This window comes from Homo sapiens, chromosome 3 (assembly GCF_000001405.40).
Source record: "Homo sapiens chromosome 3, GRCh38.p14 Primary Assembly".
NCBI lineage: Eukaryota > Metazoa > Chordata > Mammalia > Primates > Hominidae > Homo > Homo sapiens.
Genome location: NC_000003.12, coordinates 48517450 through 48542085, shown reverse-complemented (window position 1 = coordinate 48542085; position 24636 = coordinate 48517450). Strand labels below are relative to the sequence as shown.

General features: G+C 50.8%; 1 protein-coding gene across 17 annotated transcripts in view; it reads left to right on the top strand.

Annotated features, from left to right (window-relative positions):
- PFKFB4 (6-phosphofructo-2-kinase/fructose-2,6-biphosphatase 4) overlaps positions 1–24402 on the top strand; it is a 45453-nt gene extending 21051 nt beyond the window's left edge. For 9 of the 17 annotated variants that reach the window (XM_011533829.3, NM_001317136.2, XM_017006616.2 and 6 more), the window contains 10 exons: positions 2315–2389; positions 2776–2832; positions 3467–3588; positions 5623–5830; positions 6428–6574; positions 16417–16521; positions 18256–18385; positions 18487–18549; positions 20036–20100; positions 22280–24402. In XM_011533829.3, coding sequence (XP_011532131.1) covers positions 2315–2389; positions 2776–2832; positions 3467–3588; positions 5623–5830; positions 6428–6574; positions 16417–16521; positions 18256–18385; positions 18487–18549; positions 20036–20100; positions 22280–22339 — 1032 coding nt within the window. In that variant the 3' untranslated portion in view covers positions 22340–24402. Of the gene's footprint in view, positions 1–2314; positions 2390–2775; positions 2833–3466; positions 3589–5622; positions 5831–6427; positions 6575–16416; positions 16522–18255; positions 18386–18486; positions 18550–20035; positions 20101–22134 lie in introns of all 17 variants that reach the window. The other 8 variants (XM_017006617.2, XM_047448301.1, XM_047448300.1 and 5 more) reach the window with 3 other exon arrangements.
- The last annotated feature ends 234 nt before the right edge of the window (positions 24403–24636 follow it).

Below are 24636 nucleotides of genomic sequence, written 5' to 3'. Positions count from 1 at the left end.
CGTGAGCCACCACGCCCAGCCTTTCTCTTTATTTTCTCTGTTTTTTTTGGTTGTTTGTTTTGAGAAAGACTTCTTCAACATTATCTTACAAGTATATGAGTGTTGTTGTTTTTTATTTCCTTGAGACATGGTCCTGCTCTGTTGCCCAGGCTGGAGTGTAGTGTCTCAATCATAGCTCACTGCAGCCTGTCTCCTAGGCTTAAGTGATCCTCACACCTCAGCCTCCTGAGTAGCTGGGACTACAGGCACGTGCCACCATGCTTGGCTAATTCTTGTATTTTTCACAGAGACAGGGTTTCACCTTGTTGAGCAGGCTTGTCTCAAGCTCCTGGCCTCAAGCAATTTGCCTGCCCCAGCCTCCGAAAGTGTTAGGATTACAGGCATAAGCCACTGCACCCGGCCCAAATTTCTTTTTTTGTTTGTTTGTTTGATTTAGTTTCTGTTTTTCTTGTTAAAGGTTTTGCTGGAGTGTCCAGTGAGCCCTGGCTGGATGCCCTTTTTAAAAAAGTGATGCTGGGCTGACATGGTGGCTCATGCCTGTAATCCCAGCACTTTGGGAGTCTGAGGCAGGAGGACTGCTTGAGCCCAAGAGTTTGAGACCAGCTTACATAGCGAGACTCTGTGTCTACAGAAAAATTTTTAAATTAGCCAGGTGTGGGCCAGGTGCGGTGGCTCACACCTGTAATCCCAGCACTTTGGGAGGCTGAGGCGGGTGGATCACGAGGTCAGGAGATCAAGACCATCCTGGCTAATATAGTGAAACTCCATCTCTACTAAAAAAATACAAAAAATTAGCTGGGCGTTGTGGCAGGCGCTTGTAGTCCCAGCTACTCGGGAGGCTGAGGCAGGGGAATGGCCTGAACCCAGGAGGCAGATGGGAGACTGAGGCAGGAGAATGGCGTGAACCTGGGAGACAGAGCTTGCAGCGAGCTGAGATCGCGCCACTGCACTCCAGCCTGGGTGACAGAGCAAGACTCCGTCTCAAAAAAAAAAAAAAAATTAGCCAGATGTGGTTGGGCACAGTGGCTCACCCCTGTAATCCCAGCACTTTGGGAGGCCAAGGCTGGCAGATCATGAGGTCAGGAGTTCGAGACCAGCCTGCCCAACATGGTGAAACCTCGTCTCTACTAAAAATACAAAAATTAGCCAGGCGTGGTGGCACAAGTAGCTGTAATCCCAGCTACTCAGGAGGCTGAGGCAGGAGAATCGCTTGAACCCAGTAGGCGGAGGTTGCAGTGAGCCGAGATCACGCCACTGCACTGCAGCCTGGGCGACAGAGCAAGACTCTGTCTCAAAAAAAAAAAAAAAATTAGCCAGGTATGGTGGTACATGCCTGTAATCCCAGCTACTTGGGAGGCTGAGGCGAAAGAATAACTTAAGCCCAGGAGGTTGAGGCTGCAGTGAGCTATGATTGCTCCACTACGCTCCAGCCTGGGCGACAGAGTGAGACCCTGTCTCAAAAAAATTTTTTTTAAATAAAAACAAAAAAATGATGCTGTAACCGAGGTGTGGTGCACACTTGTAGTCCCAGCTACTCAGGAGGCTACTCAGAGGATGCTTGTGCAGGCCCCAGGTACTTCTCAAAGAGCTCCAGATGGGTCAGTGCCTGGCTGGATGGGGTTGGGAAGGGGGCCTGGGCCTCCAGCTCTTCTTTATCAGCCAGCTAGTCCTCCCATTTCGTCCCCACCTTTGTCCCTTTTCTTAGCAATGCCACTGCACCCTCTGGAGTGCTCTGGTCCTGCACAGGTGGTGTGCTCTGGTTGGCCAGCACCTGTGTTTGGTTTCCTACATGACTCTGAGTCCGTCACCGTGGATCTCTCTGACAGAATTGTGTTGATGTCTCCATCTCCTGTTGTCTCCTTTTTCTCCTGTCATCTCTTTTTCTCTTTATCCTTCTGTTCCCATTTTACTGGGGTGTCAGGATGGAGTAGAAATAAACATAGGTTCAGTTTACTAGGTTTAACTGGTTTCACTGCAATTCCTGTTGGTCAAACACAAACTGAGTGCCCACTGTGTGCAGAGCAGCACTGAGTAGGTTCTTCTGTGCCACGGGTCTGCTCCCCTGCTGGGAGCACAGGCATCCTCTCCTTCTAACTTCCTTGGGGCATTCTCTCCAAGGAAGGGGAGGGCCAGCCCAGCCGTTGCAAGTCTGGAGGAGACTGGCCAGGCAGGTGGACCTGGCAGCAGCTGGTCCTTATGAGAAATCCAGTCCCCAGAGAGCCTGTGCTGCGGCCCTCACTGCCCACTTCAGGGCCCACTCTGGCCCCTTCCTTCCCCAGGGCCAGAGGCTGAGTTAACCCTAGTTTGGTCCTAGGTTTTTGATGCCACAAACACCACCCGAGAACGGAGAGCGACCATCTTTAATTTTGGAGAACAGAATGGCTACAAGGTGAGGCCTCCTTGGCTCCTCTCCTTGGCGGAACTGTGGCATGTCCCCTGCCCTCCAGGGCTCCTTTCACCGCCTGCTTATGCATGAGGGGCATGGGGCTGGCATGGCTCCTGAGTGTAATTTGGGATGAGAGGGGCTGTCTCCACTTGGGGTTTGCTTTCCAGAGGGAAGGGGGTTTTCGTGGGAGAGTCTAGGAGAGGGCAGCACCTGCTTTAGCTCTGGACTCCTTGACCCCGCCTCCAGCCCTCTGAAGCAGGGTTTCAGGGCCTGGCTGCTTGTCAGCATGGGCCTCAGGGGATGGAGAGCTCCGAGGAGCAAGGCGGGAGGCCCTGAACATGTCCGTGTTCCTCCCTCCCACCACCCCGGCGCTTCTGGTCCTGCCGCAGACCTTTTTTGTCGAGTCCATCTGTGTGGATCCTGAGGTCATAGCTGCCAACATCGTGGTGAGTAGTGCATCTGACCTTGTCAGAAGGTCGTGTGTGACAGGGACATCCCTTTTCAGGTTTTGGCTAACCTTAATTTGATCTTGAACCTTGTGGGGGTAGGGAGGAAGTGTAACTTCAAATGCTGGGTCAGGTATGCCTCGCCCTCTGTGGATCACTGTGGAAGGCTGGGTGGCTGGTGGACATTCACTCACCCCACCTCCGCCTCGTAACCACCTGGACACTAGGAGAGCACCTTCAGCAGGGGTGGAAGGGTGGGTGAGGGGCATGTTTTATATTTCAGAGAAAGAAAGACTCATTCTTTCCTTCCCCTCCCCCAGTTTATCTGAGGAATGGGCATCTGGGTCTGGGAAAATGAGAGTTCAGGGTGGGGAACGGCCTCCAGGCCTCCCCCTGTACCACAAGGATGAGGGACTTCAATCCCTGGACCCTCAGTGATACCCTCTTGGCACTGGTGTGAGAACTCAGACCAGGGAGCTGCTGGACCAGCCCCCACCTCAGCTTCCAGCCTCAGGTTCCCGCACTGGTCTCCGGTGCAACCTCCTCCAGCCCCCTGCCCAGCAGTCTCCTTGGTCTCTGGCCCCGCCTGGCTCCTGACCCTGATATGTCCTTTCTCTGTGCCTGGCTCCGGCAGCAAGTGAAACTGGGCAGCCCTGACTATGTCAACCGCGACAGTGATGAGGCTACGGAGGACTTCATGAGGCGCATTGAGTGCTATGAGAACTCCTACGAGTCGCTAGATGAGGACCTGGATAGGTGAGTCAGGGCAGCGCCAGGCCCTGCAGCTGTGATGGTGGGCGGCAGGGGTCATACTTGGCTGCCTCCTATGGCTCCCCATGGTGGTGGCTGGAGGACCAAAAAGCAGAGATGGTCTGACCTTTCTTGTTTATTTCCTTGGGGCAGAAATGTTTGGTCAGAGGTGACTTGCAGAACACCGGTTACCTCATCCAAAACTCTGCGAGTCAGGATTTTATACTATTCCATCATGAAATCAAGCCGAATTTCTATGCAAGGGGTCTTAAAGCAGGGGTTGGCAAATATTTTCTGTCAAAGATCAGAGAGTAAATATTTTATTTAGACCTTGGAGGATGTACAGTCTCTGTTGCAGGCACTCACTCTGCTGTCACAGTACAAATGAAACATAGATGATATGTAAATCAATGGGCATAGCTGTGTTCCAGTAAAACTTGATAAAAACAGCCCACGGCTGAGTTCGACTGGCTGGCCACAGTTTACCAAATCCTGTCTTACAGAACACATGGGGCAGTGGCTGGGTAAATAATAATGTAGCCCTTGGTGAAGTATTACAGTCATCATTACAACTCGTCATTGTGGAGAGACATGGGAAAATATAATATTGCATTCAGTGAAAAGGCTGGAATACAAACTTGTGCTTAGGTTCTGTAATTCTATAAGATTGTGTAATACGGGCCGGGCAGAGTGGCTTATGCCTGTAATCCTAGCACTTTGGGAGGCTGAGGCGGGAGGATTGCATGAGCCTAGGATTTTGAGACCAGCCTGGGCAACATGGTGAAACCCCGTCTCTACAAAAAATACAAAAATTAGCCTGGTGTGGTGGCGCATGGCTGTAGTCCCAGCTACTCGGGAGGCTGAGGTGGGAGAATCACCTAAGCCCAGGGAGGTCAAGGCTGTAGTGAGTTGCAGTTGCACCACTGCATTCCAGCCTGGGTGACAGAGTGAGACCCTGTCTCAAAAAAAAAAAAAAAAAAAAAAAAAGGATGCACATGAACCAAGAAACACAAGCAACTCTGAGATGAATGCTTTTGGGGTGTGCATAGAGCAGGGTCCTCAGCTGGGTTCTAGAGCCAGCCCAGGCCGGGCCTGAGCTGAATGGCACCTGCCACCTGGGCCTCTCTATGGCTTTCATGGTCCCCCAGCACAGCATTTCTCTTCATGGTTCTGTGATGTGATCCATTTGTCTGGAGCGGCTTCTGTTGGATTTGTCAGTAAGCGTTGCTCTTGCTTTTATTGGTGGTGTCATCGTGACACCCCCAAACCAAGGTCCCAAGGTCCAGACAGTGAGAGCTCAACTGAGAATATCCAGAGGACTCTCAGCCTGAACCAGAGCCCACCCTGCACCCCCACACCCAGAGACTGATCAATGTGCTGTCCAAGCTGCAGTGCCACATAGGTCCAGAGTAGGGAAAGTGGCTGAGCTGGACTTATCGGCTGCCACCACCAGCACCATCCTCCTGTGCTTCCTGTCTCATCCACCAGCTGCCCAGGATGGGGTGTGGCAGCTGCTCAGCACACTTGGATGACCAGGACTGGGCTCTAGTGGGAGGAGGTCACTGGGGAAGGAAAGGCCAGGTCCTTGTACAGCTGACCAGGAAGAGTGAGGGCGTGGAGCGTTTGCCAGCTACTCCCAAGTCAACAACCCTCGGGAAAACTGTCTCTTGGTTCAACTTACAGACAGTGTATTGAGAGTGCGGAGATAGGCCAACAGGGGCCCCAGGGACACATGAGCAGCGGAGAAAGTCATGATGTGGTATGGCGGACCCCCCACTTTGGATGTCACCTTTGGGAAGCATGATGAGTGACGAGCACCTCCCATCTCCCGTCTCCCACAGGGTTTGCCTGTGCGTCACACGCACTGTGTTGCTCCCGCCTCACCCCCATCACTCGCACACCAGCTGACGGTCCTGAGGGTTGTAATCTCTGGTGGTTGGAAGTGCAAGGCCTCGCAGCTAGATTCCGTGGCTAGCCAGATGTGCTCTGTGAGAACCCTGGCCACGCTCACAGGCCTCTTTCTACTTTCTCTCTGGACAGGGACCTGTCCTATATCAAGATCATGGATGTGGGCCAGAGCTACGTGGTGAACCGTGTGGCTGACCACATCCAGAGCCGCATCGTATATTACCTCATGAACATCCACGTGACCCCCCGCTCCATCTACCTCTGCCGGCACGGGGAGAGCGAGCTCAACCTCAAGGGCCGGATTGGCGGGGACCCAGGACTGTCCCCTCGGGGCAGGGAGGTCAGTGCATGTGTCCCTGCGTGCGCACACGGGCCTGCATTTGTACCCTGCGTGGCTGGGTATATGCATGTGTGAGTGCGCTGGGGCTAGGCTCCCATTCTTTTAATGTGCAGTCGAGGTGAATGACCTTCATTCAACCTAGAATCTTCCCATCATGTAGGGAAGGTCATCAAGCAACAGGCAAATGCCTGGATCTCTGGTTTCCATGTGAGCTGTCACTCACTGAGCCCCTTTTGTCAGAGGCATGCCACCCTTAGAGCGACCTGAGTCCATACAGTGTAGCAGATAGCTGTGCCACAGTCCAGGGGAGACCTCAGTGGTCACGTAGCACAGGGCACCTGGTTGTGGGGAGGCAGTGGCCCTGATGAGTCTCAGCTGTAACTGTGCTGCTGTGCTCAGGGTCTGGGAGGGTGCACAGGAACAGCACTTGTGTTCTTGTGTGTCAGCATGTGTGTCATCGACAAGTTAGTTCATGCTTTTTACCAAACCTGTAGTGAGTGTTCAAGGCGAGGGTGATCTCATGGACCCTGCGGCTATGGGATGCTTTAAGGGCAGCCCAAGACCTGTGGGTCTGAGTTTGCTTATGATGTATTTCAGTTTGCCAAGAGTCTAGCCCAGTTCATCAGTGACCAAAATATCAAGGATCTGAAGGTCTGGACAAGCCAGATGAAGAGGACAATCCAGACGGCTGAGGCACTGGGTGTGCCCTATGAACAGTGGAAGGTCCTCAACGAGATCGATGCGGTAGTTACCGTCCCTCCCTCCCTGTCTACCTCCCAGATACCGCAGGGCTGCTGCATCATATTGTAACAACAGTGACCATTGCTCCCCTTGGGCAAAGGAGAGGAGAGAGAAAGGATACAGGAACCTAGGGGCTGGGAGCAGAGAGGAAAAGGCAGCCTAACAGGATGGGACCTTGGGTGAGCCCTAGACCATTCTCAGGAGTGAGCCTGGGAGTTGACACCTCAACCTCACTCTCCTCCCTCCCTGTGGCCTCCTGCTAGGGTTCCTCATGGTCTAGCTCAACAAGAAATCAGCGGCCACGGGAGCTTGGTAGCTGCAGTCAGCCATAGCCAACCTCCCAGGGATCTGGAGACACAAATGAGGTGAACCAGCACGGCCTTTGTCTCTTTAAAGATGCTGTTCTCGCCAGGTGCGGTGGCTCACCCTTGTAATCCCAGCACTTTGGGAGGCTGAGGCGGGCGGATCACCTCAAGTCAGGAGTTTGAGTCCAGCCTGGCCAACATGGTGAAACCCCATCTCTACTGAAAATACAAAAATTAGCCAGGCATGGTGGTGGGTACCTGTAATCCCACGTACTCGGGAGGCTGAGGCAGGAGAATTGCTTGAACCCAGGAGACAGAGGTTGCAGTGGGCTGAGATTGTGCCACTGCACTCCAGCCTGGGCAACAGAGTGATGTTCTGTCTCAAAAAAAAAAAAATGCTCTTCTGCTGACTTCTGGGTTGCATTGTTTCTAAGAGAAGTCTGTTGTCATTCTCATCTTTGCTCTTCTGGATATAATGTTACCTCCTTTTTCTCTGACTGCCTTTAATATTTTCTTTTCTTCTTTTTTTTTTTTTTTTCAAGACAAGATCTTACTCTGTCACCCAAGCTGGAGTGCTGTGGTGCAATCATAGCTCACTGTAGCCTCAACTTCCTGGGCTCAAGCCATCCTCCCATCTCAACCTCCTGACTAGCTGGGACTACAGGCACTTGCCACCATGCCAGGCTAATCTTTTCTAATTTTTGTAGAGACGGAGTCTCATGATGTTGCCTAGGCTGGAATATTTTCTCTTTATTGCTGATTTTTAGCAATTTGATTATGATGTATCTCAGTATGGTTTTCTTTATGTTTATCATCCTTGGGGTTTATTGAGATTCTCGGATTTCTGGGTTTCTAAATATAAAATGTGAAGAATTGTTGGCCATCATTTCTTCAAAGGTATTTTCTGCCACCCCTTCTCCCATCCTGGACTCCCACTCTGTGTGTGTTAGACTGTTTGGTATCATCCCACAGGTCACTGAACTTCTGGTTTTTTAATTTCTTCTGTTCATTTCTTCTCTGTCTTTTTTTCCTTCCGAGCTTTAATTTAGATAGTTTCTACTGCTATGTCTTCAAATTCACTTATCTTTACTTCTGCATTTTTATTAAACCCATCCAGTGAACTTTTCATATCAGATGTGGTGTTTTGAAGCTCCAGGAATTTCATTTTGTTCCTTTTTTGAATCTTCCATTATTTCTTCATTATGCTTGGCTCTGCAGTCCAGGAAGTGCCTCTGGGCAGTAAGCTGCTGCCTCCTCCCCTCAGCTTGCTTCCCTTCTCTCAAGGATCACAGTCCTGCCTAGTCTCGTGTCTAAAAACAGTTGTTTGATTTGTCCCTTTATTTATTTATTTTTTTGAGACGGAGGTTTGCTCCTGTTGTCCAGGCTGGAGTGCAATGGCACGATCTCGGCTCACTGCCACCTTCGTCTCCCGGGTTCAAGCGATTCTTGTGCCTCAGCCTCCAGAGTAGCTGGGATTATAGGCACCCGCCACCACACCAACTAATTTTTGTATTTTTAGTAGAGACAGGGTTTCACCACGTTGGCCAGGCTGGTCTTGAATTCCTGACCTCAGGCAATCCACCCACCTCAACCTCCCAAAGTTCTAGGATTACAGGTGTCAGCCACAGCGCCCTGCCAATTTGTCCTTTTTTAATAATAGTTGTTTTTGTTGGGGCCAGAGCAAATCTGGTACCAGTTGCTCCATCATGGCTTGGTCTTTATTATGGGTGGTTCCCATTTCAATATGAAAAGCTTTTTCTGTGGATATATACTTTGACTAATTTGAATATTACCACCCCTGCTTTTGTTTTTCCATTTTTTTTTACTGTGGTAAAATATGCATAACATAAAATTTACCATCATAGCTGTTTTGAAGTGTACGTTTCAGGAGTATGAAGTACATTTACATTGTTATGCAACTCTCACCACCATGCATCTCCAGAACTCTTTTAATCTTGTAAAACAGAAACTCTGTACCCACTGAACAATAACTCAAGCCAGATGTGCTGGCTCACACCTATAGTCCCAGGTACTTGGGAGGCTGAGGTGGGAGGATTGCTTGAGCCCATGAGTTTGAGGCTGTGGTGTGCTATGATTTCATTCACGATTGGCCCTTGCACTCCAGCCTGGACAACATAGTGAGACCCCATCTCTAAAAAAATTTTAAAAAGAAAAACAATAACTCTATTTGCTACTCCCAGCCCCTGGCAACCACTTTCTGTCTTTATGACTTTGACTACTTTATATACCTCATATAAGTGAAATCATATAGTATTTGTCTTTTTGTAACTGGTTACTTTAGTTAGCATAATATCCTCAAGGTTCATCCATGTTGTAGCTTGTGCAAGAGTTTCCTTCCTGTTTATTTTTTAAGACAGCATCTCACTCTGTCACCCAGGCTACAGTGCAATGTGGAAATCACTGCAGCCTCAAACTCCTAGACTCAACGATTCTCTTGCCTCCCTAGTAGCTGGGACTAACAAGTGCACACCACCATGCCTAGATAATTTTTTTATTTTTTGTAGAGAAGGGAGGCTCACTATATTGCCCAGGTTGGTCTCAAACTCCTAGCCTCAAGCGATTCTACCACTTTGGCCTCTCAAAGTGCTAGGATTACAAATGTGAACCATCACACCCAGCCTTAAGAATTTTCTTCCTTTCTAAGGCAGAATAAGATTCTATTGTATACCACATTTCGTGTATCCATTCATCTGCCAATGGACACTTGGACAGCTTCCACTTTTTAGCTATTGTGGATAATGCAGCTGTGAACATGGATACAAATGTCTCTTTGAGACCCTGCTCTCAATTCAATTCTTTTTGGTATAGACCTAGAAGTGGAATTGCCAGATCCTATGGTAATTCTGTTTTTATTATTTATTTATTTATTTATTTATTTTGAAACGGAATCTCGCTCTGTCGCCCAGGCTGGAGGGCAGTGGCATGATCTCAGCTCACTGCAACCTCCACCTCCCTGGTTCAAGCAATTCCCCTGCCTCAGCCTCCTGAGTAGCTGGGATTACAGGCCCACACCACGATGCCTAGCTAATTTTTTTTGTATTTTTAGTAGAGACAGGGTTTCACCATGTTGGCCAGACTGGTCTCAAACTCCCAACCTCAGGCAATCCACCCGCCTCGGCCTCCCAGAGTGCTGGGATTACAGGCGTGAGCCACCGCACCCGGCCTCTGTTTTTATTTTTTTGAGGAACTGCTGTACTGTTTCCCATAGCAGCTGCATCATTTTACATTTCTACCAGAAGTACACACAGGTTCCAATTTCTCCACATCCTTGTCAACACTTGTTGTTTTCTTTTCTTTTCTTTTTTTAATAGTAGCCATCCTAATGGGTGTGGTATTGCATCTTGGTTTTGATTTGTTATTCCTGCTTTCTGTCCATATATTTTTTCTTTTTTTTAAGTGACAGGGTCTTGCTCTGTTGTCCTGGCTGGAGTGCAATGGCACCATCATGGCTCACTGCAGCCTTGACCTCCCAGGTTCAAGTAATCCTCCCATCTTAGCCTCCCGAGTAGCTAGGACTACAGGCACACATCACCATACCCAGCTAAATTTAAAAAAAAAATTTTTTTTTGGCCGGGTGCGGTGGCTCATGCCTGTAATCCAAGCACTTTGGGAGGCCAAGGTGGGCAGATCACCTGAGGTCAGGAGTTGGAGACCTGGGAGGCGGAGGTTGTGGTGAGCTGAGATCACGCCACTGCACTCCAGCCTGGGTAACAAGAGCAAAACTCCCTCTCAAAATTAAAAAAAAAAAAAAAAAATTTCTGCTTCCCGGGTTCAAGTGATTCTCTTGCCTCAGCCTCCCGAGTAGCTGGGATTACAGGAATGAGCCACCAAGCCCAGCTAATTTTGTATTTTTAGTAGAGACGGAGTTTCTCCATGTTGGTCAGGCTGGTCTTGAACTCCTGACCTCAGGTGATCCCACCTCGGCCTCCCAAATTGCTGGTATTACAGTCATGAGCCACTGCCCCTGTCCTAAATTTAAAAAATTTTTAGAGATGTGGTCTTGCTGTGTTGCCCAGGGTGGTCTTGAACTCCTGGGTTCGAGTGATCTCCTTCCTTGGCCTCCCAAAGTGCTGGGATTACAGGCATGAACCACCATGCCCAACCTGTCCATATTTTTTTATTATATTTTTTCCCTTTTATTTTTAACATTTTTGTATCATTTTCTTTAGAATAAAGAGCATAGGCCAGGCGCAGTGGCTCATGCCTGCAATCCCAGCACTTTGGGAGACTGAGGTGGGTGGATCACTTGACATCAGGAGTTTGAGACCAGCCTGTCCAAGATGGTGAAACCCTGTCTGTACTAAAAATGTAAAAAGTAGCTGAGCGTGGTGGCGCATGCCTGTAATCCCAGCTACGTGGGAGGCTGAAGCAGGAGAATTGCTTGAACCCAGGAGGAGGAGGTTGCAGTGAGCCAAGATATGTCACTACACTCCAGCCTGGGTGACAGAGCAAGACTCTGTCTCAAAAACAAAAGAAAAGAAAACAAAACAAAACAAAACAAAAGCATATACTTGCTTTGAGTTTTAGCCTAGCCCAAGAGCTTTTTTCATCAAGGCATCTGCAACCACTTAGGTTTATTATTATCATTACTGGTATGTTTGATCTTGTTTTCAATACCTTGGAATTTTCTCTTTATTCCAATTTTTCTGTGTAGATATGATCTTTTTTGTTATTTGAAAGGTAGGCAATGTTTTTATTCCAATAGTCTTTACCTTAAAGCTTTTCAAAGACATTCTCAGGCTGGATGCACATAATTGAAATATACTTAACAAAGCTCATACTGTCACAGGAAAATAATTTTTGACCTTCTGTTGGGAAAGATGATGTTGTATTATTGCCATTCATTTCCTTTTTGCTCTGTTTTTTCGATGTAATTGGGCAGAGTACAGCATCATGGTTTTATTTTATTTTATTTTTATTTATTTATTTATTTTTTGAGACCAAATCTCACTCTGTTTCCCAGGCTGGAGTGTAGTGGTGCAATCTCAGCTCACTGTAACCTCTACCTCCCGGGTTTAAGTGATTCTCGTGCCTCAGCCTCCCGAGTAGCTGGGACTACAGTTGTGAGACACCATGCCTGGCTAATTTTTGTATTTTTAGTAGAGACAGGGTTTCACCATGTTGGCCAGGCTGGTCTTGAACTCTTGACCTCAGGTGATCCACCCGCCTTGGCCTCCCAAAGTGCTGGGATTACAGGTATGAGCCACTATGCCTGGCCTATTTTATTTTATTTTTGAAACAGGGTCTGGCTCTGTCACCCAGGCTGGAGCGCAGTAGCACCATCTCAGCTCACTGCAACCTCCGCCTCCTGGACTCAAGCCATCTTCCCACCTCAGCCTCCTGAGTAGCTGGGACCACAGGTGTGCAACACTACGCCTGGCTAATTTTTGTATTTTCTGTAAAGATGGGGCTTCACCATATTGCCCAGGCTGGTTTCAAACTCCTGAACTCAAGTTGTGGTTTTATTTTTTATCTATTCTTTCTCTTCAGAATTGATAATCTCTTTCAAAAAAGTAAGCAATTTTTATAACTCATTTTGTAGCTCATTTAACCCATTTTGTGCTTGGTGGGGGTTATCCAGCCACTGATTTCTTTCTCACACAAACAGCAGCTACCTGAGGCAGGTTATAGGACAGTGTCTTCCCTCCAAATATATAGATTTGATGCTAACATTCAGTTTTGCAGAGAAGCCTGCAGCCACCCCAGTTTTTTTCCTTTGAAGTTAATCTGATTATTTTCCAAGATGCTTGTGGATTTCCTTCATCTTTCAAGTTTTGAAACTATTACAGTTTTTATGATCCATTAATCATCTTTCCATGTTTATCTTCTGATAAACAGCCTTGGGCTTGTCTTCTATTCCAACATTATGACTTTTTCTTAGTTTAATCCACAATTTATTGCCTTATAGTTCCTTTAAAAAAATGATAGCTTTATTGAGATATAATTCATATACCATAGAATTCACCCATTTAAAATATACAGTTCAGGCCATTTGTGGTGGCGCACACCTGTAATCCCAGCTACTCGGGGGGCTGAGGCAGGAGAATCACTTGAACCCAGGAGGTGGAGGTTGCAGTGAGCTGAGATCGTGCCATTACACTCCAGCCTTGGAGACAAGGCGAGACTCAGTCTCTAAAAAAATAAATAAATAAATAAATAAATAAATAAGTATACAGTTCAGTGGTTTTTAGTGTGTTCAGAGTTGTGCAACCATCACCACAATCAGTTTTAGAACATTTCATCACCCCAGATAGAAATCCTGTGCCCATCAACAGTCACTTCCCATTTCCCTCTAACCCTTCCTTCTGCCTTAAGCTACCACTAATGTTTTCAAGGTTTATTCGTGTAGCATGTAGCAGTATTTCATTCCTTTACATTGCCAAATAACATCCTATTATATAAATATACCACACATTATGTATCCATTCATCAGTTGATGGGCATTTGAGTTGTTGCCACTTTTGGGCTATGTGGATAATGCTGCTGTGAACATTCATGTCCAAGGTGTTTTCTATGTTTGTTTGTTTGAGACAGGGTCTTGCTTTGTTGCCCAGGCTGAGTGCAGTAGCACGATCTTAGCTCACTGCAGCCTCCATCTCCTGGGCTCAAGCAATCCTCCCACCTCTGTCTCCCAAGTAGCTGGGACTACAGGAACTCGCCACCACACCCAGCTAATTTTTGTATTTGTTTGTAGAGATGGGGTTTCATCATGTTGCCCAGGCTGGTCTCAAACTCCTGGGCTCAAGAGATCTACCTGCCTTGGCCTCCCAAAGTGCTGGGATTACAGACATGAGCCACCGCATCCGGCATAAGTTTTTGTGCGGACTTATATTTTTATTTCTCCTCACTGTACGCTAGGAGTAGAATTGCTGGGTCATATGGTAATTATACATTCAACCTTTTCAGAAACTGCCACACTGTTTCGCCATCTCACATTCCCTCCCGCAGTGTGTGAGGGCTCTGATTTCTCCACATACCCGCCTGCGCTTGTTACCATCAGTCTTGGTTGTAGCCGTCCAACATGGGAACTCAGTTTAGCCACATTCTCTGCCACTTTATAACATGGATTACCTTTTCTCTAGGGTCCAGGAAAAGGTACCTCATTTCCCCTTGTGGGCTCACAGAGGCACCTTTAATGTTCATATTTCTATCAACGTTCTTTTCATGATGATATATGTGCTCTTTACGATGGTGGAAGCTGGCCGGGCGTAGTGGCTCATGACTGTAATCCCAGCACTTTGGGAGGCCGAGATGGGCAGATCACATGAGGCCAGGAGTTCGAGACCAGCCTGGTCAACATGGCGAAACCCCGTCTCTACTAAAAATACAAAAAATTAGCCAGCCATGGTGGCCTGTGCCTGTAATCCCAGCTACTCAGGAGGCTGAGGCAGGAGAATTGTTTAAACATGGGAGGCAGAGGTTGCAGTGAGCTGAGATTGCACCACTGCACTCCAGCCTGGGCAACAGAGTGAGACCCTGTCTCAAAAAAAAAAAAAAAAAAAAAGATGATGGACGCTTTCTCTGTCATCCTCTTCACTTCCTTCTGTGCCTTCACCAGAATAATCTTTAATGTCTAAATTTCTACTAACAGTCTCTTCAAGACAGTCTAAGCTTTTTATCATGCACCACAAAATTCTTCCAGCCTCTACCCACTATCCCATTTCATAACCACTTCCACATTTTTAGTTCTTTATTACAGCAGCCAGCAGCACTTCACCTCCTGGTACCAAAATATGTGTTAGTATTCAAGTGTGGTGGCGCACACCTGTAGTCCCAGCTACTTGGGAGGCTGAGGTGGGAGGATCACCTGAGCCTGGGAAGTTTGAGGCTGCAGTGAGCCAAGATCACACCACTGGACTCCAGCCTGTGTGACAGAGTAAGACTGTCTCAAAAAAAAAAAAAAAACCACTAAATGTTAAAAAAAAAAAAAGTATTAGTTTACTAGGGCTGCCGTAACAAAGCACTACAGGTGAGTGGCTTAAAACAACATGAATTGATTCTCTCACAGTTCTGGAGGCTAGAAGTCTGAAATCAAGGCGTCAGCGGGGCCATGCTCCCTCTGAAGGTGCTAATAAAGAACGCTTCCTCACCTCTTCCTAGTTTCCAGTTGTTGCTGGTAATCCTTGGTATTTCTTGGCTCATAGCCTCATCACTCCAATCCCACCTCTGTCCACGGTCATCACATGGCTTTCTTCCCTATGTATGTCTGTCTGTGCCTTCACATGACATTCTTTTTTTTTTTTTTTTTGAGATGGAGTCTCGCTCTGTCACCCAGGCTGGAGTGCAGTGGCATGATCTCAGCTCCCTGCAATCTCTGCCTCCCGGGTTCAAGAGATTCTTCTGCCTCAGCCTCCCAAGTAGCTGGGACTACAGGCGTGAGCCACCACGCCTGGCTAATTTTTGTATTTTTTTAGTAGAGACGGGGTTTCACCATATTGGCCAGGCTGGTCTCAAACTCCTGACCTCATGATCCACCTGCCTCAGCCTCCCAAAGTGCTGGGATTACAGGCATGAGCCACTGTGCCCGGCCTACATGGCGTTCTTAAAAGGACACCAATGACTGGATTTAGGACCCACTCTAATCCAATATGTCCCCATCTTTTTTTTTTTTTTTTTGAGACAGAGTCTCATTCTCTTCCCCAGGCTGGAGTGCAGTGGCGTAATCTTGGCTCACTGCAATCTCCACCTCTTGGGTACATGCGATTCTCCTGCTTCAGCCTCCTGAGTAGCTGGGACTACAGGCGTGCGCCACCACGCCCAACTAATTTTTGTATTTTTAGTAGAGACGGGGATTCATCATGTTGACCATGCTGGCCTTGAACTCCTGATCTCAGGTGATCCACCTGCCTCAGCCTCCCAAAGTGCTGGGATTACAGGCTGTGAGCTGTGAGCCACCACGCCCAGCCAACTTTTCTTTTTTTTTCTTTTCTTTTGAGAGGGAGTCTCTCTCTGTTGCCCAGGCTGGAGTGCAGTGGCACAATCTCAGCCCACTGCAACCACTGCCTCCTCCACCATGTTGGCCAGGCTGGTCTTGAACTCCTGACCTCAAGTGATCCGCCTGCCTCAGCCTCCCAAAGTGCTGGGATTACAGGCGTGAGCCATCGCGCCCAGCCAGCTTTTTTTTTTTAATGGCATTTGTAGAAGATGATCTATGCTCTGTGTGTGTGTGTGTATCCCAAATAACACAAGTGAAGTTTTCCTTCATAGTTTGCATAACAACCTACACTCACAAGTACTATTTCCACAGCACAGAAAAGAAAAAACACATAGCATCTCTGTGTGTATTGGATGGGTGATGGATAGGTGGACAAGACCATCCTGGTAGCTTTTTACAAGCAAGGAACCACCAATGATCAGTGTTCCTAGAGGTCCTCCCCTCCTTAGACAGGTTTCTGTTCCCTTCACCCAGGAAATGCCCGTGAACTTGGTCTCTTCTGCTTGATGCTGCCTCACCCCACATGTCCCCAAGGCTCATCTTCTGGGCCTGTAGGAGGTGTGATGACTGTGGTATCTCCCTAGGGCGTCTGTGAGGAAATGACCTACGAGGAAATTCAGGATAATTATCCACTGGAGTTCGCCCTGCGGGACCAGGACAAGTACCGGTACCGGTACCCTAAAGGGGAGGTAGGTGGGATTTGGGGCTTAGTCCCAGCCACCTACTGCCCGCCTGGGAGTACCACCTGTGGCTGAGGGCCTGTGGGGCTCTGCAGGGGCTGCGTGGGTAGCAGAAGGGGCCTGGTCTCAGAGGCCTGCCAGCCTGGGTGTGTGGTTCATCTCCACCCCTTCCCAGCTATGCAGCCCAGGCCTTAGTCCCTTCCTCAGGTGTGGAGTGGGCAGTGCCATGTAGGGCAGGCCTTCAACCTGGAGACCTTTGGCTCCCTGCTCTCCATTCTTGTCTTTCCCCTTCCCAGGGGTGGAGAATTCGGAAGGGCAGGGCCTGAGGTGGGGGATCTGCGGAGTTAGGCTTTCCTGGGACCCCTGTAGACAGTGTGCGGTCCCCTGGCATTCCCAGGCCAGCTCCTTTCCCAGCGAGTTGTCAGCCCTTTCCGGGGCGCTCAAATGGCTGGGGAGTTGGGGAGACCATGGCAGGCCTGGGACTCGGGTCTCAGCTCACTCGAGTCCCTGTCTCGGGCCTCATCCTTCCTTTGGATGCTTCCTCTTGTCACAGGCTGAGCCCATCCTGTCCTTCCTGTGGCTCCAGGCACCACCCCCAGCCCTGGCACCAGACCCAGGGAGACCTTCCACACATGAGTTGGCTACCACAAGCCACTGCACTTGTCACCTTCTCTGACACAGTTCAGCCCAGGCCCCAGGTCAGAAACTGAGGGTCACCTTTGACTGAGGCATCTCCTTCCACTTCCAGGAGGTGGCCTGGGGCAGGGGCCAAATAAAAATACACCCCGTCAACACACATATGTACACATATATATACACATGTAGAAGCACCTCCACCCAGAAGCCAGGCTGACAGGTCTCTACACTGTACCATCCTCAGGATAGTATAGCTCTTGGGAACATTAATTATTCCCCACATTATGTTAGGCCAAGTTCAGATTTAGAACCAACCCAGATAACGGTCAGGAGAAACAAAGCAGCTGGCTGCTCAAACATGAGAATACAGTGAGGAGAATTGGTTGAGAAATTCATGTTACCAAAAGAACCGGTCTAGGATTTTCTCAGAACTACCAGGAACTGGCACAAATCAGCGTGTCATTTTTGCTTCCTAATCAAAGCTTGGGGCACGTTCAGTTCTGACTGCTGGAGGCCATTTTTGAAGGACCACTCATTGTGTGCAGAAGGATGAAACTGATGAAAATCTCTAAACCTGCCAGGTTGAGAGGCCCAGCAGGGGCCTAAACCGTACATCACGGCAGGCATAGGGGGAAGATACTGGGCAGGTAGACTGAGGATAGTTCCTGGGGACCCCAGCTGTTTCTGATGAGTCACACTCCAGAAAGTTCCAGGTCTTTGCTCTCTTCCCCTTCGCTCTTGTCAGTGCACTCTGTTTGCTGTGGGCTGGAAGCAGGCGAGGTCTTCTCCACCAGTCACATGAATTCTATAGCTGAGGATTCAGTGCAGAGCCCCATGGGTGGGCACTGAGGTGGACCCTGGGATGGAGCCTGAGGCCTAGCTCTGCGCTCTCAATCCTACCAGGACCTAGCCCTGAGGTGGGAAAGGTGGCCCCTTTCCTCAGCTGCCCACCCCCATGGCCTCAGAAGGCTAGGCTGGAGGAGGCCCAGCCACAGCTTCCCAGAATGGTGAGTAGCTGCAGGAGTGGAAGGTGGCCCAGTGTCCAGGATGTGTCTGTCCCTCCCCCGGAGCCAGGCCTGAGGGACCCCTCTCTGCTTGCCCTTGCAGTCCTACGAGGACCTGGTCCAGAGACTGGAGCCTGTCATCATGGAGCTGGAGAGGCAAGAGAATGTGCTGGTCATCTGCCACCAGGCTGTGATGCGCTGCCTGCTGGCCTACTTCCTCGACAAGGCAGCAGGTGTGGGCTGTGCCCCGGGGGAGGTGGGAAGGTTGTGTGAGAAGGTAGGCACTGTCACCAGGCATTTCTGGTGTGCTAGCCATCCCCCTCTGTGTCTACAGAACAGCTGCCCTACCTCAAGTGTCCGCTGCACACAGTCCTGAAGCTGACTCCTGTGGCATATGGTAAGGAAGCTTCCTGCACATTGACCATGGGTAGCCATGACCTTGGATCTCTGCACAGTTCCATGATTTTCTCCGAATTCCTTGAAAATTGTGTTAGGAGCCCATTCCTCCACCTACTACCCCACCACCTTTCCCAATTTGCTTTTTTTCTTTGAGACGGAGTCTCGCTTTGTCACCCAGGCTGGAGTGCAATGGCGTGATCTAGGCTCACTACAACCTCCACCTCCCGGGTTCAGATGATTCTCTTGCCTCTGCCTCCCGAGTAGCTAGGATTACAGGCGCCTGCCACCATGCCCAGCTAATTTTTGTATTTTTAGTAGAGACAGAGTGTCACCATGTTGTCAGGCTGGTCTCGAACTCCTGACCTTAGGTGATCTACCTGCCTCGGCCTCCCAAAGTGCTGGGATTACAGGCGTGAGCTACCATCATGAGCTACCATCTGCGGCCCTAATTTGCTTTTAAAAAGTTTGTTCTGGGGCTGGGTGCGGTGGCTCATGCCTGTAATCCCAGCACTTTGGGAGGCCGAGGTGGGTGGATCACGAGGTCAAGAGATAGAGACCCTCCTGGCTAACATGGTGAAACCCCATCTCTACTAAAAATACAAAAAAATTAGCTGGGCGTAGTGGCGGGCACCTGTAGTCCCAGCTACTTGGGAGGCTGAGGCAGGAGAATGGCATGAACCCGGGAGGCGGAACTTGCAGTGAGCCGAGATCGCACCACTGCACTCCAGCCTGGGCGACAGAGCGAGACCCTGTCTCAAAAAAAAAAAAAAAGTTTGTTGTGAAAAAGTTTATGTGGCCACAGAAGACCTCCCCAGTGACTTTGCTTAACCATTGCCTACCTGCATGAGGGGCTTTTCTACTGATTTTTCTGAACCCCCACAAGGCCCCTTGGTCCTCAGGGCCTGGACTTTATTCTGGGTGCAGGGCAGTGTGAGTCCCCACCCTGCCTCTTGCTATACCAGCAGAGACTTCAGGCAACTTCTTCATCTCTCAGGTCTTAGCTCTTCACCTTTAACACAGGTGCTCTTGGGGGAATGGCTGTGAAGCCCAGTGGCAGCTGATGTCACTCCAGTGTGTGACAATGGCCTCATCCCCCATTGCACTGTGCACCTGGCACACGGTTGACTGGGCCTTATATGGTAGAGTTGGAATGTGGGTGGTTTGGGGGCCCTGAAGACTTTGAGAGTCAGTAACCTCAACTTAGGCCTGCTGTTCCCCCGATCCCTCTCGGTCCTGGGGTTGGGGAGCCTGGGGCCTCTGTGTGGCCCTGTCTGGGCCGTCACATAGATATGCGTGGGTCTGACAGCGTGTCTCATCCTTCCTCCCGGGGCTCCCCAGAGCTGCCTAAAGTGGAAGAACTAGAGTGAGGCTGAGATGGCTGCTCCATTCCACACGCCCAGACCCCCCTCCAAGAGAAGTTTCTAGCATCTGCAGCTCAGCTGCCTTTCAGGAGTGGGGATGGATTTGCATCTTCCCTTTGGCAGGTTGTAAAGTGGAGTCCATATTCCTGAACGTGGCTGCTGTGAACACGCACCGGGACAGGCCTCAGGTAGCAATGGGGTCACTGCTGGGGTAGCGGGGTGTTCCTGATGTGGGGGTGTCCAGACTGCACATCCTCCAGGGCCAGGCCCAGCTGCGGCACCTGCCAGAGGGAGCTTGAGTCTTCTGCCAAGACTGTTGTCCCATCAGCAGGGCGGGGCCCTGGCTCTGGGTGGGGCCTGCATCAGGCCTTCCCAAGGCACCTGCCCTGGGGATGGGGAAATCCCTGACTCTGGGCCACCAGGCTCAGGAGTGCCTGAACTTGGGTGTGGTTGGAGCCCCAGGACTTGAGGAGCCACAGGGCTCCCAAGCAGCAACTTGGAGGTCTAAGTCAAGGGGGCCCTTGGGCTCAGTGAGAATGAGGCTGGAGGCTAAGAATGAGGCTTCTGGCCTTCTGAGGGCAGGTGGGCACTCTTCCCACTCCCCATCCCTGCAGCCGAGGCCTCATGAGCCCCTTTCCTAACCCCAGCACCTTTAAAAATTAAAATGGGATCATGTACTTTTGGGGAAAGGGCCATGCAGATACTGAAGGGGCCTCAGCATGGGGTGGAGACCTTGGTCCAGAAAAGCAGTCACCACCTGTGCTCCCCAAGTGCCTTGTGGAAGGTAGAAGCTCCTCAGAGTGTAGCTCAGAACCACTCTTAGTCCCATGTGGGGTCCCTCCACAATGTTGGCTCCCTCTCCCACTGGGGCCAAGGATAGGACCTACACTTCTGGGAGCCCCGGTCCCAGTTCCTGGAGGCCACTGCACGGAGAAGGCTCTTGGGCCTCAGTCATGCCTCTTGCCATCCATGATGGGGCCTGCTTGGGCTCTGGGTCCCTGCTGAGGATGCACGTCTTGGGCTGGACCAGGACATCTGGCCTTGGACCTCACAGCACAGGTGTGTAGATGTGTCCTGTCCCTTCCCAACACCACTGCCCCCAAGCAGGACCAGTTACCCTGCAGGCCTCTCTTCCCATTGCTCTGATAGTTCGTGCATGTCTTGGCCAAGTTCAGCCCAGGCCCAATTTGGTACCCACAAGTCACAGGGGAACGTACCTCCCAACGGGCATCCTTTGGGCCAAGGAAGGCCCAGATGGCACTGGGCCCCCAGCGCTGACAGAGTGATGGTAAGAGAGGCCCCTGGGTTGGCAGGGTGATGGTAAGAGAGGTCCCTGGGCCTGGCAGCCCTTGGGAGCTGACCCTACCAGTCCATCACCATAGTGTGGCTGGCGGTCATTCTGCCCACTATGGGTGGGTGCTTCTGAGAGGCAAACCGCTACTAACCCCAGGTTCCTGGATGGCTCCCTTCTGGCCCATCCATTGGGGCAGGCTGTGGTGGAAAAGGGGCGCCTCAGGAAGCCTGCCCAGCAGTAAGAATTATACCTGCCCCTACAATTCCAGGGGCCGGTCCTATGAGCCCAGGCTGTGGGCCATGGGGGCCATGTCTCTCTCCCTGAAGATCTGGGCATGTCATGTTGCATGGGGCAGCAGCTCAGGTCATCAGTGACCTGCTCCTGCAGGTGATGGTTCCGGGGCCCACAGCTGGGAGGAGGGGCCACCAGGCTCTGGGGCACATAAGACAGCCTCAGAGAGCTAAGGGAAGTTTCAGATTCCCTATTCCTCAGGCCTGAGACTCCCTGAGCCCGACAGGCCAAGGATGGGACTGAGCTCTGCAGTTTGGTGGGGTCCTTCTATAGCTGAGGGCTTCAGGAGGCCCTGTACCCCAGTTCTGAGGGGACAGACCAGGCTGCAGACCAGGAAATGCCCATAGGCTTCTGGGGCACCTCTGACACCTGCGTGCCAACACTTTAAACTAGGAAGGAGGCACCCCCAGGAGTTGAACCCCTTCCCTGCCCCACAGATGAGGATAAAATCCCCAAGCCAGGGGTTCCTCCTCAATTGACTCAGCCCTGAGATAGGAGGTGGGAGTGGCCTTGCTTTGGGTATTGCCTGACCTGGCTGCAGTGGAGCAGGAAACGAGGTGGCATCCTCCACCGCACCTTTGTTCTATTGTCCATCCACCCGCTATGTGGCACGAAGCTCTTGGCCATGTATTCTTAGGGAAGCTTGTGGTCTAGAGTCTTGCGGCTGTGGCTGCTACAGTGAGAATGTGAAGCCTGATGAACCACAGTGATGAGGACGGCAGACAGCAGGCATCTCATCTATTCCTGCCATGGAGTGAACGCTCTGTGTTTTTATTGTACAGAACGTGGACATCTCAAGACCTCCAGAGGAAGCCCTTGTCACGGTGCCTGCTCACCAGTGACCATGTTCATCCACTGTGACCACTAGGCAGGCACTGCTCTCTGCAGAGGGGGTCATTCCAGGCCCTCCAGTGTGTGTGATAGTCACCATGCCATGCAGGGATATTCTTGAAGCCACACATGGCTGGCGGAACCCAGAGCCCCCACCCCAGCCCACCTGGCTCTTTGTTGACAGTCGGCGACAAGGTTGTGCGTGGCTCCTGACCTGCTGCTAAGAGTCACTTGACCAGACTGCATCTGCATGGGCTGCGCGGAGGTTGCCCAGCCCCAGTTTCTTCCGGCGCAGCTCTTAGGTGTTCACTCTCGCCAGCTCAGTTGGCTTTGTGAAGTGTGAAACCCTACAATGTGAAAGGAAAGTGCTTGCTGTGATGTTCCTACTGTGGCCCAGCTGCCCAGCATGGACCTGGTGACTCTCCACAGGGCCTCTACCATCCTCTCTGTGGCCACTTCCTGAGCCAGAGGCCAGGTCTTCATGGGGCCCTGAGCTTCTGCTGCCTCTGGTGAGAGGGAGAGCCCTTCCCATCCTTACCCACCAGGAACTAGAGCCCCAACCACAGCAGATGCTTCCTGGGCAGCCACTGGCCAGGCCGTTGTATCCATGTCACCCTTAGTTGTGGGCATTCATGAAAGCAATGCGCTTGCTTCAGCACATTGGGATGCACAGAAACGTGAGGGCAGGGGGGCAGTTGTGGTCGCCCCTCCCCAGTTGTGCATGTACCCGGCTACTTAGGTATGCTTAGGGGAGCTGGTGGCCAGGGGTGCCCCTTCAGGCCTGCTCTCACAGTGAAACCACTTCAAGACAGGGCAGGAAGTTACCTTCCTGGTGCACACACCGAAGTGCTCGAGGGAGAGGCTGCCGCCCCCTCTCCCCTTCCCTGGCTGTGGACACTGGCAGCCAATGGGGAGGCGGCCTCTCCCCTGTTGCTGCCCGTGTCCACACAGGAATGTACACTGGTGGCAGAAACATGCATTTGCCATAAATAATTCAGAAACACTTGTATGGTCCTGTAAAACTTCTCTGGTGTTTGTTGACTTCTGCCTGTGGGTCTGAGGAAGGGAGAAGGCAGAACCCATAGGCAGTCCCTGGGCAAGGGAGGATTTTCCCGGCCGCAGCACAGCCTTCCATTCATGTGCACGTGAGTCTGGTGAAAATGGCCTTGTGAAGTCCAGTGTCTGTCATGCCCCTGAGTTCTTTTGGTCCCAGAGAGGCAGCCTGGGCAGTCTGTTTACAGCTGGCAAACAGACTGGCTGGCAAGTTGTGGGGCTGGGTCAGAAAGTGTCTGGACTTGTAATCGGGTGCCCTGCTGTCCACAGGTGGACTCTGGGGAAGCCAGGCCCCTGGATCCCAAGTCCTTTGTGTCCGGAGCCTTTCCTGGCCTGTGCCTGGAGGGTAGCACATCTTTCCAGCCTCCCAGGGCTTTGCAGCCTGCAGATGCCACCTGTCCCTGAGAGAAGTTAGCGTCCCTGGCCCTGGCCGGTGGTCTCTCATCCTTGTGTGCTGCTCTGCTAAGAGATGTCCAAGGCGGAGCCGGGGCAAGATCCTTCCAGACTCATCTGTCAGAGCCCCAAGCCCTTTAGACCCAGAGCCCAAGGACCATGCCTTTGGGACATTAGGACTGCAGCCTTTGCTTCTGTGTATTTTGGAGTTTTGGTGACTTTTGTCACCTGGACACACTCATTTGTTAGCCATAGTGGGTTCCCTTGGTCAGCAACAGTGCATGTACCTCTGGATGTCATCTGAGGTGAGACCACCGAGGCCTTTTCTCTCTGTGTACAGAGGGGAGTTAGGAGTTGCTGGACTGGATGCATTACGAGGACTGGGGACAGGGTAGAGGGACATCCAGGGATCAGGGCATGAGTGGGGGCAACCCCCCGGCCTCTGCCCTGGCATGGTCTCCGCATGGGCTGAGGTGTAGCTGATTGGCTGCCACATTTCGGCCATGCTGGCTGGCGTGCCCATGTTGCAGATATTTTCCCGAGTTCCCCAGAATGGATGGTATTGAATCTCAGCCACATGCAACACTGTGTCCAGCATTCTTTGCAATAAATACTTTTTAAAAAATAATCTCAGGTTGTATTTGGTAGCCAGTTCTCCATTTCTGAAGTGTTTTTTTTCTGGCCTGCTCTGTCGACACCTGGTGCTGTGGTCTTCCTCGCAGGTCTGTGTTGGGATCCTTCGTTCAGCTTCCACCCCCATGTTCACTCTCACTGAAGAGGAATTATGCTGCCCTGGAGTGAGTCCTGGCCTGGCATACATGGGCAGGCGGCCTGGGTCTTCCCTGGGCTGACCTGGGGTATG